Source organism: Homo sapiens, chromosome 6, assembly GCF_000001405.40.
Source record: "Homo sapiens chromosome 6, GRCh38.p14 Primary Assembly".
Taxonomy (NCBI): domain Eukaryota; kingdom Metazoa; phylum Chordata; class Mammalia; order Primates; family Hominidae; genus Homo; species Homo sapiens.
Window position 1 is genome coordinate 70384088 of NC_000006.12, and position 15369 is coordinate 70399456.

The 15369-nt window shown below is 37.2% G+C and overlaps 2 long non-coding RNA genes across 4 annotated transcripts; one reads left to right on the plus strand and one right to left on the minus strand.

Moving 5' to 3' along the window:
• Positions 1–87: 87 nt before the first annotated feature.
• LOC105377847 (uncharacterized) lies at positions 88–15121 on the minus strand. 3 transcript variants are annotated; one of them, XR_942667.1, is made up of 6 exons: positions 14872–15121; positions 10932–11155; positions 3762–3972; positions 3455–3464; positions 2978–3122; positions 88–208 (listed from the first exon to the last, which is right to left on the minus strand). It is a non-coding gene; the product is annotated as an uncharacterized LOC105377847 (long non-coding RNA). The 3 variants fall into 3 exon arrangements; XR_942668.1 differs by lacking the exon at positions 3455–3464; XR_942666.1 differs by lacking the exons at positions 2978–3122; positions 3455–3464.
• LINC01610 (long intergenic non-protein coding RNA 1610) lies at positions 10115–15330 on the plus strand. The gene is made up of 4 exons (NR_125857.1): positions 10115–10185; positions 10598–10956; positions 11140–11179; positions 15128–15330. It is a non-coding gene; the product is annotated as a long intergenic non-protein coding RNA 1610 (long non-coding RNA).
• Positions 15331–15369: the final 39 nt, after the last annotated feature.

A 15369-nucleotide genomic window follows, 5' to 3' on the forward strand; every position in this document is an offset into this window, starting at 1 on the left:
TAAGTGAAATCATGCAATATTTTTCTTTTGTTTTGTCTGGCTTGTTTCACTTACCAGGTCCATCCATGTTGTGGGAAATGGCAGGATCTCCTCCTTTTTTAAGGCTGAATAATATTCTATTGTATAAACGTATACCACAGTTTCTTTATCCATTCATCTGCTGACAGACACCTAGGTTGTTTTCATATCCTGGCTACTGTGAATAATGCTGCAATGAATATGGGAGTATAGATATCTTTAAGAGGTAGTGCTTTCATTTCCGTTGTGTATATACCCCAAAAGAGAGATTGCTAGGCCATATGGTAATTCCATTTTTTATTTATTTAGGAACTTCCATATTGTTTTCCATAATGGTTGTACCAATTTACATTCCAACCAACAGTGTGCAAAAGTTCCCTTTTCTTCACACCCTTGCCAACACCTGTTATCTCCTGGCTTTTTGTTAACAGCTATCCTACCAGGTGTGAGATGATATCTCACAGTGATTTTGATTCGGATTTCCTTGATGATTAGTGATGCTGAATACCTTTTCATAGACCTCTTGGCCATTTTTGTGTCTTCTTTGGAGAAATGTCTATTCAGGTACTTTGCCTATTTTTAAATTAGCTTATATGTTTTCTTGCTTTTGAGTTGCATACTTTCTTTATACATTTTTGATATTAACCCTATATCAAATAGATGGCTTGCAAATATTTTTTCCCAATCTATAGATTGCCTTTTCATTTTGTTGACTGTTTCCTTTGCTGTACAGCTTTTTAGTTTAATGTAGTCTAATGTATTTATTTTTACTTTTATGGCCCGAGCTTTTGGTGTGATATCCAAGAAATCAATGCCAAGGTCGATGTCAAGGAGATTTTTCCCTATGTTTTTTTCTAGGAGTTTTATGGTTTTAGGTCTTACATTTAGGTTATTTATTTCATTCTGAGTTAAAAGTATAAACTTTAAAATTTGCTTGACACTTTGGGAGGCCAAGACAAAAGGATCACTTGAGCCCAAGAGTTCAAGACCAGCCTGGACAACATAGTGAAACCTTGTCTCTACTAAAAATAAATAATAATTTTTAAAAAACTAGTCAGGTGTCACGGTGAATGCCTATAGTCCCAGCTACTTGGGAGGCTGAAGTGGGAGGATCTCTTGAACCTGGGAGGTCACTGCTGCAGTGAGCTATGATCATGTGATTGTACTCCAGCCTGGGCAACAGAGCAAGTCCCTGTCTCAAAAAAAAAATTGCTAGCATTATACATTTCATTGTAAATTAATAAGTTGGTTCAAAGTTCATTTACAGTGATACTATGTGTGTAACATACAAATTAATCCTCTTGAATCTGAATGCTCAGAAAATTTCAAGTTTCCTGTGTCTTGCTCATTGACAAGAGAATAGACATTTATTAGGAAGAATTCAGGGGAAAAACTGAAGGAATGAGATGTGCAAAGTCACAGAACCAGGAAAGAGAGTGATACCATCATTTAACACAAATGAAGCAGAGACTGAGCATTTGAGCATTGTTGGGAGATAAGTCTGGAAAGGCCAGTTCAAGTCAGATCATCCCATGAATGCCTTGAGGAGACATTTAGATTTTCCCCCAAGGCCAAGGAGATTGCAGTCTATTTGTAAGAAGAAGAGTAAAATCGTCAGATTTATTTTAGAAAAATATCTCTGGTGATGATGTGGAAGATAGATTAGAGTGTAGAGCAACTAGATGAACTGGGATGAGTTAGGAGGAGTCTCAGTGGGAAACTACATAGACCTGGAAAAAGGCAATGGCAGTAGATACGGAGTATGGAGAGTCAAGAGGATAACACAAAACAAACCATATATGGGTGTTTAATGGAGAAGCATGGACAGATTTAGCTTAGTTAAATAATTGGAGAGCAATATCATTAACTGAGATAGGAAATGGAGAAGGAAAAGTGGGTTTTGTTGTTTTTTGTGTGGGTGGAGGATATATGAAATTTGGTTTTGAACATCGTGATTTTGAAATGATTATGAGTCATCCAAGTAGAGACATTCAGAAGGCAATGGAAACTACAAGTCTATACTTCAGGAGAGCCATTTGGGCATAAGCTGTAATTTTGGGATTTGCTGTAAATGATAGGCAAAGTTATAGAAGTTGATGACTCAGAATTTGGCAGTGGTGTGGGGGATTCAGGGAATGAGGTGATAAGAAGAGTAAGAATAAAATTCTGGGCTGGGCATGGTGGCTCATGCCTGTAATCCCAGCATTTTGCAAGGCCAAGGCGGGCAGATCACTTGTGGTCAGAGGTTTGAGACCAGCCTGGCCAACATGGTGAAATCCCATCTCTACCAAAAAATACAAAAATTAGCTAGGTGTGGTGGCACGTGCCTGTAATCCCAGCTACTTGGGAGGCTGAGGCAGGAGAATCACTTGAACCTGGGAGGCAGAGGTTGCGGTGAGCCAAGATCACACCACTGCACTCCAGGCTGGGCGACAGAGCGAGACCCAGTCTCAGAAAAAAAAAAAAAAAAGAATAAAATTCCAAGGACCCACATATATAAGATGTTAACAGAATGACAAGAGCCATTCAAAGATTTTAAAAAGTAAACAGAGGTGTGGGAGAAGAGACAAATAGGTGCAACGTTATAAAAGCCCATGGAAGCAAATGTTTTAGGATGAAGAGAGAAGTCAATATTCCCAAACGCTCTGTAGGGTGCTAAGAGAATGAGGACTGAAAAGAGGCCACTCCATTTATAAGTTAAGTCATTTATGACCTTTTCCAGAACCATTTCATTAAAGTGGTGAGAAAGAAGTAAGATTGTGAACACAGTAAGTGAGAACAACTCTTTCAAGAAGTTTGGCAGTTAGGAAGAGACAGAAAATGGCAATATGTGAAGAAGGCAGGATAGAGGGAAGAAGCCCAGATTGAAGATCTTGAGTCTTTATCTTCTCCCTATTCTCGCAATCCAACAGCAAATATGTCCTATTGATATTTGATTCAAATTATTTTCAAAACTCACCCTTCCTCCCTTTTCTTCAGTTGCTCAAGTGCTGTCAAGACTTCTTTGTTTGTCTCAGACCTGTTTCCGTCTTCCCAACAACCCTCCCTGCTTCTTTTTGCTCTTCTCTCCAAGCCATCCTCCATCCTGCTGCCAGACTAATTTTCTAGAACACCAGTTACCTTATGTCATTAAGTCGCTCAAAAAACTTCTAGAGTTCCTCATTTACTCTTATTCCCTCTTCAGCCTGACATCTGACCAAGCCGAGATTGGTTCTCCCTAGACATTCCATAACCACCTCCTTCCATGCTTTAGCCAAGATGGACTTCTCACTGTCCAAGTCATTGAGTATGCTCTCCCTTCTGACTGATAAACCATCTGACTTTTCTCAGGTAATCAACCTCACCTGGCCTTCAAGAATCAACTCACAAGCCTTTTATAGAAGAGGAGGAGGGGTAGGAATTAAAAATAATTACTAAACAATTTTATCTATCTTACCTTATCTCGGCTAGAAAGAAGGGAGAAGGGAAACAAGAAGGGGAAACTGGTTAAGAAAATAAATTGTAAGGTCTATATTAACGTAGAAATTAATAAACATATAATATTGAATCTAGTATCACTCTTGACCAATCATTCACATACTTTTGATAGTGAAGTTCTCTGTTTACTTCAGATACTAACATCTAGTTTATACAGGATAAACGACTCCTGTATTAAGGTTTCTAACCTACTATTCAGTATGAAAACGATGCTAATTGATGGGTTTTGGACTCAGCTTTGCAATTGGAGCACTGTGGAAAAATACCTGGGGAGCTTTTTGAAATCACACACACTCCAGGAGATTCCGTTTTCATCTCTTTCAATGGCTATGCCCTCTAGCTAAGAATCCCTGCTGCCCTGTGAGTCTTCTCACTGGTGGGAGTGGACCACTTTCCTCAGGTACAGGTTTGAGAGCCACTGCAGGGTATGTTGGGTGGCAAAAAGCAGAACGGTTACAAATTTGAGGTTAGTTATTCCTGTGAAAAAGAAAACACAAAACATTATAGTAATTAATTGAGTGACTCCAGTTCCTCAGAATATAAAGAATAGACCCAGGAAAGTACTAAATGTTACACAAGGAGACTTTTTTCCTCCCTAAATGGTCACAAAAGAATTTTTTAAACATGTAAGAAATGTAATATCAAAGTAAAAATAAATCAGCCAACCAGACTGTCTCCAATCTGTTGGGTGATATATTTAGCATATTTTGTAATTAAATGAGCTGACTTTTAAAGTTGTTTTGAGACTACAACTACTTAATTTACCTAATAAGACTGCATGGCACTCTACATATTATCCATTGTTAGCTGTACTCATACTGCTATGTCTTGTAGAGAGACTAAGCTGCTTTTTCCTGCAACATTGTATTAATGGTTTTAATGACGTGGACATAATTTCACAGGGGCAGTATTTTATTTTTACTCAGTTCATGAACATCAAACAACCCCAAGCTGTTTTGATAACTAGCATCCTCAACCTGTGCTATTGCTGTTTGCTCACAGCAATGATAACCACTGTTTATTTAGCATCATGAAGTTTAATGACTTTGTATTTCCTTCTATTAACAAAACTCACAGAACTCTGAAATAAGTAGGCCCGTAGCTCTGATGAAAAACCCTAAAGTTCCAGAACTTCAAATTTTATCTTAGAATTTTAAAACCAGTGGGGCTTGGGCCACTACCTACTCCACGGGTTCTCACTTATGGTGAGCATCAGAATCTCTTGGGGAGCTTGTTAAATACACAAATTCCCAGGCTGGGAGGTTTCAATGAGGCTCAGAAACCTGCATTTAAAACAAGAACTCAAGATAGTCTTTGAACTTCAGTTTGAAAATTACTGACCAACACCCTCACTTATACATGATGAAACTGAGCCCCAGACAGGGTAAGTGACTTACTCAGGGTCACTTAGCTAGATAATGACAATCAAGTGTAGAACTGATGCAGCCTAATCCTTAGTTCTGTGCTCTTCCCACGCTTACACCCTTACTGTTTAGACTGCCCATCTGGGTTCCTACAATATGGGAGGTCACCTATCTATTACTCCCATGAAAAGAAGTTCATGGACAATATTCTATAGATGCCACAGACAGAAGGAAGTAAGCACTGTGGGAATAATAGAAGAAAGGCTGTTAAAGCTGTTACCTTCATCTTTCTGAATTTCAGTTTCTTATCTGTATGCAAGCACCAATGGATCATTAGAGCAAAATACCAAGAGCTTGTGAGATGGAAAAAGATTACTATAAGATGGTAAGTTTACTCACTCCCTTAATATGACTAAAATAGCTAAAAAAAAAAAAGGGTTCCTAATAATGAAATATCAGAAAGGCTACACTCTGAATTTACTTTTTCTTTCTGAATTTCAGTTTCCTGTCTATAAAAAGGTATGCTAAAACTACATACTAGGCAGCATGATCTTGAGTACAGCAATAGCACATGAACAGTGCTTCATAAAATCCTAGAACATGGTATATACTCAATACATTCTATAATTTTTTTAAGTATTATCATATGGTGGAAGGGCCAAGCTAATTAAAATGGGCCAGGCTAATTACAATTACATACATACCAAAGTAGAATTATTGATACCTCCCATCCCTAGAGTGCTGCAGAAATTACAAAACATGGCAGCTAGATCATGTAAGACACATTTACAAGCTTAAGGAGAACACCTATGTAGGGTAACATGGATGAATCTAATGGAATATAATATTGGGCAAAAGAAGCAAGACACAGTAACATAAATACTATGATTCCATTTATAAAAGTTAAATACAGGCAAAACTAAACTATATTGCTTGGGAATGCATAGTTAGGCAGCAAAACTATAAAGCAAAGCCAGGAATTCAGGAATTCTCTCTTTCTTCTCTCCCCTTCCCCTCGTCTTCCTAGAAAACAAAAACACCAGGGTAGTGGTTTCCTCTGAAGGGTACCGAGGGGTTTGCCCAGAGGAAAGGCACATGAGTGCTTAAAAGGGTGCTAGCCTTGTTTTACTTATTGACTTGGATGGTGGTTAAATGGGTGTTGCCTTTAGAATAATGTGCCAATTTTTTTTGTTGTTTTGTGCATTTCTATTTTATATACTGTATTTCACAACAAAGTTTTAAAAAGATTTTTAAAAGACACATTTAGTAGATAAAGCTGAAGGGAGTTACTCAACATTCCTATTATAGATATTTGGTTGTCTCTCCACGTGGACTACTAAGATAATGGAATTCAGCTGCACAGTGGGTCTATGTAAATATCCATTTGTGTACTGACAAAGAGGACTCATGCCCTGGAGCTGTTGTGATGTTTAACTGAAAGGCATTTGATCAGAGGTTGCCAGGATCCATTAGACATTAAATATATCATCAACCTAATTACATATGACTTACTAGTTCAGTGCTGATTATATCCGAAATCATCAGAGTCTTAAAAATAGTCATGCTTGTTTGTCCCAACAATGTTTTCAACCATAGTTTCTGTGGTTCCAACCACATATGGAGAAATAATATATGTCCTCACGGGGAGAAGAGTGATTTCTGAGTTTTAAAAAGTCGAAGGTTGTCATTTTGCCACTTTGAGAATATCCCTTGATCTAGTTTGATCTATGTATGTTCCACCTAGAGACTAAATTAAAACTCTAGCCAAAATATTAAAGGATGGAAATATAGTCCATGACTGTGGTTTATCATTCCATTATTAGAATTGACTAGCAGTATTTTGACACCTAGATAGGACTGCTTTGGTGTGTCTAGGTGTATTGTATTATTTAAGTTACATAATATTAGAAACTTAAAATAAAAACAACTTGGTATCAGAATTGGTGACTGAGTTCGAGTTTGGTATTCAGCTGTTTCCATGCAACTGAATTGTTAAAATGCTTACAATTTCCTGTGATTTATTTTCTAAAGCAAGAAAAGGGACCTAACATTAATATGCCTCTTTTAGATTAATTAGATTTACTTTAATGAAATATACAAACAAGAAAGTATAATTTATATGTATAGTTTAAAGAATAATAATAAAACACCCATTTACCTACCATACAGCTTAAGAAATAGAACATAACCAAAACCTTCATTTCCCTTTCTCCCCCATAAGAGGCAAATGCTACGCTACGCTGAATTTTGTGAATATCATTCCATGCTTTTCTTTGCAGCTTTACCACGGGTATGATACATATAATTATGCATATTGTTTGGTTTACCTGTTTTTAAGCTTTATATAAATGAAATCATGTGGTAGCATTCTTCAATAACTTTTCTTCATTCATTATTGTACTTTTGAGATTTATCACATCAGTAAATGTATCTCTACTTCATTCATTTTAAATGCTATATATTCAGTATACCGTGACAGCAGTATCATATACTTTCAGGGCACTGCCAATATTTCTTCAACAATTGCCATTTCCGTATACACCAGCCCTTCACCTGCCAATGCCTCCATTTTTTGCCTGAAGGCTTTCTCTGGCCATCAGTGACTACTCAGTCTGAACACACAACGGGCTGAAAATACCAAGGAATTAACGTTTCTCGGGAGCAGTTCTCAACCAATAACTTGGATAAACTGGAAGTAAGTGTTGTAAACTGTCCCCCAGAGTTCCCCAGCAGGATCAAACTCCAATTGCCCACAGTGATAATGTGATAACACACCTTTATTGGTTTTCTTCCCATCTGTTTAACTTCCCCATTATCTACTGGTGTTTCTTGGGAACATATCCCAAACAAAACCCTTTCCACTCATTGCCACAGGTCTGTCTCTGGAGGCACACAAACTAAGACAGCAGGGAAATTAAACTTAAGAACCTCCAAATACCTGATTCTGCTATGCCTCCAAGATAATGTAGCCATGCTCCAGATTTCTTCAGGGATGTCTGAGAGTTAAGCTCCTCTCAAAATCCAAAATAGGAAACAGAAATAAAAGTCCTCGGCCTGTTCGGCCCTCACTTAGTTAGCACATGTAAAACTGAAACACAACTTTCCTGAATCTCTTCCTTCTCTCTCTTTCTTCTCTCCCCTTCCCCTTTTATTCCTAGAAAAATAGACAAGCTTTTCTTTAACTTTCCCTACATCCTGTCTTCCTTCCCGGTTGGAAAGCAAGCTTTCTGAGTTCACTACCATTGACTGAAGGGACATCCTTTCTATACTACGGTAGAACTCTGTGTTCTAGGTCATCCAGGCTCAGCCCTGGGTATGTTAAGTAGGAAAGATTAAGGAATTTATAAAATTCTCTCTCAAAACTTGTATACATTTATTTTTTAATTTCAGAAACTATCACTTGTCTTTACCTTTAATTCTTTCTGAAACATCCATTTCCCTGGTAGAGGTTAGACAGTAAAGAAAAAATACATAGGAGAAAAAAGGAAACAAAAGGCAAATGAAGAACACAAAATTTCAGGACCTATTCATAGAAAAATAGGCCAATTTCAAACAAACAGTTCTCCCAAGACTCAAAGAAACTAAAGGCAAGTTGGCTTTCCTTAAAAAAAAAAAAATTATCCTGAAAGAATAACAAGAGATCGATCAAAAGAGAGATGAAGCAAGAACAGGAGATAAACAGTGGGTGTGTGGAGCTCAGAGATGAATAGAAGCATAAGATGAAATTATTACAGAGGTGAAATTCTCATTAGAGTCAACAAATGGTAACACATATATATGGATAAAAATACAGTCTAGGACAAAAAGAAAGCCCTTGAGTAAATAACATAAAACGAATTGGAAAAGAACAGAGATAAAATAAGAAAGGAGGTGGTATGGACATTAAACAAATAATCACTTTCATGGAAGAAAATAATATATGGAATGGGAAAAATTCAAATATATAATTGAATATAATTTTCTTGAAACAAAATCTCAAATCTATAGATTACAAAGACATAGCTTAGCCAAATTCCTGAAAATGTTGATGAAGGCTAATTAGTAAGATAACTTAAAAATGGATTTAGAGCAGCAGGTTGTAAGAAGTTACACAGCAGAAAAGAAGCACATGAACCAACTCTACCAAAATGAGAAAGAATAGGAGGAAATGAACTGAAGAGGTATTTAAGATCCTGGCATTTAGTAAGCCGACCATGGTATGGTTGTTAAGAGGCCAGCGCTGTAAACTGCCTAGATTTGGATCCCATCCCTGCCGTTTATTACCTGTGTGACCAAAGCAAGTTATTTTGCCTCTTGGTGCCTCAATTTTCTTAATTTTAAAATGGAGGTGATATTAGCCACCCACATAACACAGTGACTGTGAAAATTGAGAAAATACATTTAGTCTTCTTTAAAAAATGCCTTTCATATTCAGCATTGTCAATTATTATTAAGTTCAACAGAGCTTGGTGATTCTCTGAAGGTGAGAGAGTAAGAGACAGGGAAGACACGAGTTGATTCCTAGGTTTCAGGATGTGACAATCATAATGCCATTCACTATAGAGAGAATACAGAACAAGGGTAATACAGAAGAAATGATTTTTTTTAATTCTCAATTGATATAGTCCCCACCCAAACCTCATCTTGAACTGTAGTTCCTGTAATTCCTATGTGTCGTGGGAAGGACCAGGTGGAGATAATTGAATCATGAGGATGATTTCCCCTATCCTACTCTCGTGATAGTGAATTAGTTCTCACGAGATCTAGTGGTTTCATAAGGGGCTCTCCACCAACGCTCTGCACTTCTCCTTGCTGCCACCATGTGAAGAAGGACATGTTTGCTTCCCCTTCTGCCATGATCGTAAGTTTCCTGAGGCCTCCCAGCTATGCTGAACTGTGAGTCAATTAAACCTCTTTCCATTATAAATTATCCAGTCTTGGGTATGTCTTTATTAGCGGTGTGAGAACAGACTAATACATCAATTATAATGGATTCATTTTGAACATGTTAAGATTGACTTATCTTTGAGAAGATAGGTAGAGAGGTCCTGTGGGCACCTAGAACTCACCTAGGGCTGAAGGCAGGTGTACATGGCTTTAATGTGTGTGCAGAAGCCATGAATGTGGATAAGATCTCCTTTGTGATGTACATAATGAAAGAAGAAAAAGGGCGAGAACTGAACCTGTGGAATATTCCCATTTATCAGCTGGCAGAAGACTAAGGCCTGTGACAAAGGATCAGTGGAAAAATAAAGAAGAAGGAGAGGATAAATGATGAATCAAAGGCACAAGGACAGGCTGGGCACAGTGGCTCATGCCTGTAATCTCAGCACTTTGGGAGCCCAAGGTGAGTGGATCACTTGAGCTCAGGAGTTCAAGACCAGCTTGGGCAAAATGGGAAGACCCCATGGTGGGAGGGATATATACATATATGTATATACATAAATAGTTGTGTGTATATATACACACACATATACAGTTGTATATACGTATATATATATATAGTTGTGTATATATACACACACACACATATATATATAACAAGTACATTGGAGAGGCTGTGTTCAGGAGCACAGATGAACAGGTTGGCCTTTGCCAAGGGAAGCACATATTTTCCACCGAGAAAGAGAACGATGAGGGTGTGCGTGGAAGCAGGTTAAGTGTGTAGACTGTAGTTGGTAAAGCTGAAAGAGCTCTTACTGAAAGATTCTCCCCGGGGCCTGAAAGTTTAAGGGAATGAATAACTCCGCCCTCCTCAGGCCCAGTCCCAAGGTGCAAGGCCACTTGTGCTAGCAGCATGCGTCAGCAAGATAGCAGAAGCAGGAAGAGAGCTGGCCGGAAGATATGTACCCTGTGAAGACCGAGAGAGAGGCCGTCCAGGTACCACGTAGCAGTTACATCAGACTGAGACACTTCCTGTTTACAGGAGACTATAAAACCCCTGCCCCATCCTCATTTGGTGCTGATGCCATTTTCAGCCTCAGCACGCCTGCACCCAGGCGCTCATTAAAACAGCATGTTGCTCCCCACTGCCTCGTGTTGTCTGTTGGCGCGCTGTCGGGGTTCGAACCGATACAAGAACCTTCCACCTACCTGGTGCTTTGGCCTCATCTATAAGGTAAAAGCAAAGCCATCTGTTGCTAAATATTGGAAACTCTGTGTAGCAGTGAAGATTAGAAGTAGTTAATGATTGGAGGATGACCCCTCTCAAAAAAAAAAAAAAGTTACATTGAGGGCCCCGCAGACATTGAATGAAAAATATGAACTCAAGTCAAAAAATTGTTTTCGCATTTTTTTCCAGCAGCTTTTCCACTGTCCTGAAACAAGATAGAGAATCTGAGGTAAGATATGATCTGAAAAATGTTTGACATGGCTGCTTTTGCCATAAAAACAAAGTAGAAAATAATTAAATGTAGTCCATTTCTAGAGTTACCTAAGTGTAGTGTTGGCTTATAAGACAGAATACCTGGACCCTGCCTCATGTGTGCCTATTGTTTGCTGAAAGGATTTTAATCCTATAATAAAATCTCTCACAACATGCCATGGAAAGTATTTCCTAGAATTCTTAAAAACTAATGAGAAGGAAGCTTGAATATGCTGATTAACATGGAAGCTTGTTACTGGAAAAGAAAAGCAAAACTGAAAGATATTGTTTTAATATCCTTTCAGCTACTCTAAAAGATTACATAACTGCACATAGAACAAGCTATATAAAGTACAAGGCTTAGTCAAAGAAACATCAGGCTAATACCTGAGTTTTCATACTTAATACAAAAGTCTAAAATATTTCTTACCCCCGACCTGAATATGGCTTCAACTTCTCATACAATGTACTACTAGCCTAATAGATATTTTAGAATTAATTATTGCAAGTAGTTCATGTATATAAATGCATTTTTATTCAACTTTAAGTAGTTTGTTTCATTGTTTTGAGTATAAATAAGCAATCTCATCAATGATCACTTCAAAGATACAGTTTATTAAATATCTTAATCATTATTCACAAAGCATTATAGGATTATTAGTAAAGCTCCCTAATAGATAGTATTATTATTTTCACTCTTTCCAAGGAGTCAGTTGTCAATATAAAAAAATACGTTTAGAGAATGGGTCAGTAAAGCAGCAATTTGAATAATGAAGGATATTTGAACGATTGAAGGATAATGAATCAAACTGAGGCAAACAAAGGAAGTGAGAATGAAGAATAAAGTGATGTAAAGAATTAATATAAGAATAGTAAGGAGCATTTTATAAATAAACCGTTAAAAGCAAGTTCTTCACAATAAACAAACTCTGAACAATGAGTCTATGAGGAGCTGCCACTGAACTTTAAGTTGCTCAAACACACTAACTGTGGAAGAGTAGTACAAATGACAAGTAGGCTTCCCACCAAGCAAAACTAGAAAATCAAAATTTGTTTCCAGCAGTAGCACATCTTCAAGTCCCTCCTCCTCACTTCCTCCTTTCTTTTTTCTTTGCCAAAACAAAACAGATCTACTTAAAAGGCCAAAGGCCACTGGAGAAAGAGTTTATGATCAGACAACCCAGGTGTCCTATGTCTAAAAGGGAAATACAGGTCTTGAAATGAGATAGACTGTGAAAATAATGAATTAGTTAGAATTCATAGGGAAAGAACTTCATTCCTTAACACTTATCATCATGGTATTGTTTCTGCGGTGTGTTATTACTTCAGTAACTTCTTCCTGTAATGATCTAGGTTACATGTAGGTATGTATTTATCACAATAATCTGATGGCTGTCTAATAACTAGTCACATACATGACATCTCTACTTCATAATAGTAGGAGCAACTTACTCTAATCTGACTAAAGTAAAATATGATACATAAGCCTTTTTAATTCTGCAATAACCCATTCATCTTTATTATTAATAGATTTTTAAAATTACCAGTACGTATTTTTCTGAAATGTGTGCAATCAATCCTTTGTCAATTCTTTACTACTACGATCTGAAGAAAGTTGCAATCCAAAGAGAATAAGGGTTACAATTATACTTGAAGATGAGAGTGCTAAAAATCTGTGATATGTTTGAAAACCTAGCAAATGGGTGACTCATACTTTCATTACCTTACTTGCTGCCTAGTAAACTAAACTGGGTGCCTAAAATTCCCTTTGTTTATTTTCAACTTCAATTATATATGCACAGTATTTTAATTACTTAGCATCTATTGTTCCAGGTGCTTAGATTTTTCCACATCAAAATTCTCCAGTTTCCATTGTGTTATTTCCTGTTATAAGATTATTCAAAGTAGTTTTTTTCTTTATTGTTGTTTTTCAAAGGGAGGCAGACTGACCAGTCGTGTTTGGGGTTATTTCACAATGCTAGTTCCTTCCTGTATACAAATTCACACACGCACCCATATTCATACAAATGCTGGCCTTGGGTAAAAAAAATAAGGTTGCCAAACATTTGAAGTCTTCAGACCATTCTTTCTTTGTTCCTCCTTTGGGGAGCACCACCTCCCCTTCAATTATTCTGCATCCTGCATTTTCTCCTCTTCCTTACAAAGAGCCTGGTATCAGTCACAGCTCCTGGCACTCCTGAGTTACATGGCCTACTTCTGAGGCACGCAAAGATTTGGTAGCAAAGCAAAGGGAAGGGAAGTGGCAGACCTGTCTCTCAGCTGCCAGCTGCAATCTTTCTCGCACACCAGTGCCTCTCCTTCTTACAAGTTACGTCCTGTCGGTAGACGGACTGGCCCAACAACAAGGTTATATCTATTGAGGTTAAACTTGCCCCAAACAGTGTTTGTTGGAGCAGAGAGGCAGAAAGCGTACAAAATAGGAAGGTGAGTTCTCGAAAGAGTTAAAATCCAGCCTTAAAAATTCCACATATGCTCAGTCAGGTAAATCATCATGAATTTTTTACTGATATTTTGTCCTAGAAGATAGTGATATTAACATATTCTAGAAAAGAAAAACCTTGATTCAGTAAAAACCTCCTTAAGTGAGAGATACATGATTAAATGTTGATGACAAAATATATTTTGAGGTTATCTCAAAGTTTAATGAAGTTCTAAATATATAGAATGATTGAATATACACTTTAAGAAAACATGCAATAGGTGACTGGATAGAGCTGAAAAAGAGGCATCCATATATTTTAGATTGTTCATTTCTTGTATATTTGATTTTATGTATGAGAGTGTTTGTTATCCTGATTTAGAATGAAATGACTTTGAGTGGTATTTGTGGATTCAATTTTTTTCTAGCCTGAGGAATAATCTATTGTAGAAAAGTTGAAAAGTTGCTCTAATTCGCTAATATTTCAAAGCATCATTTATTTTCTCAGGGAAAGGACCAGAAAACTCGGATCCAAACTTAAAATGTCAATACTCATAGTTTAGCATTTCAAAATGAATAACTACATGGAGTTACCAGTGATACTTTTAAAATTTATATTTTTGCTATGTGTACTGTTTCAACAAAGTCATGAGTATACCAAAGCGAGCTAACAGTCTTCATTCCAAAATGTTGCCCCAAAATAATTTCTGAACCACATGACAGATGTTTGATACAGATGACTAAATTTCCTGTCATGTTTGTTTATTGTTAATAGTAAAACCAACAGAGAGTGCTAGACTTTAGACACTAATATCTTCAAAATATGGACTTACATGAAACTAGACAGCAATATCATCTTAAAGTACTTTTTTCTCTTAAACAAACAAATCGAAAAAAGCAAAGATCAGAGATGAAAGGAAGAAAAGTATATCGAGTGACACCATGTGTCAGCCAGACACTGGGATAGATGCTTCATATACCTTAGGTCATTTAACGTTATAGTTAAGTAGAAAATGTTTTAAAATTGTGGAGGTGTTTAACTAGTTTTTCATTTTCTAAGCCAGCACAGCTGTTGACTCACCTGTTCATAATGCAGAGATTATTTGTTCTGCCCTACGTTTCTGTTGCACAACATTTTCCCTCTCTTAAAAGTCATTTATTGAATCATCATCTGTCTCAGGCTTGATACGGTATAGCCTCTGAAAGACTGGTTTAGTACTTAAACCCACCTTTCAAAATATTTCCAGTGCAGGCCATTCAGTGTTCCAGGTACCTAATGAGTCATTTTCTTCTTCCCAGTCTACCAAGCAGGATCTCAAAGCCTCCTTTATCTTTCTGGGTGTATACAGAGTCATTAAGCTCAAATATGTCCTTTGCCAATGGACTTGAGGGTTGGGTTTAGTTATTAACTTGGTGAGTCTCCACCCAGCTAACTATTCTAGGAAATCATTTGGTGAGTCAGGCATTCTTGTATTCACATTGCAGCGGCCAGTCATCTGCCCTAAGTGCTGCCGCCGAAGACTGAATGTCCTGGAAAGTTTGCTGTCACATCTCCATTATGACAAAAGCATTGTGCCGAACAGATGAAAAAATGCATTGTCAACGGAATCTTTTATGTTTGTTTGTCTTCCTTTAAGCAACATTGCCTTACTTGTTATAAAAGATAAATAAATATTTGTTCATTTCAATTCTGATGAGTCTGTGAGCTGTTACCATCAAGCACAGAG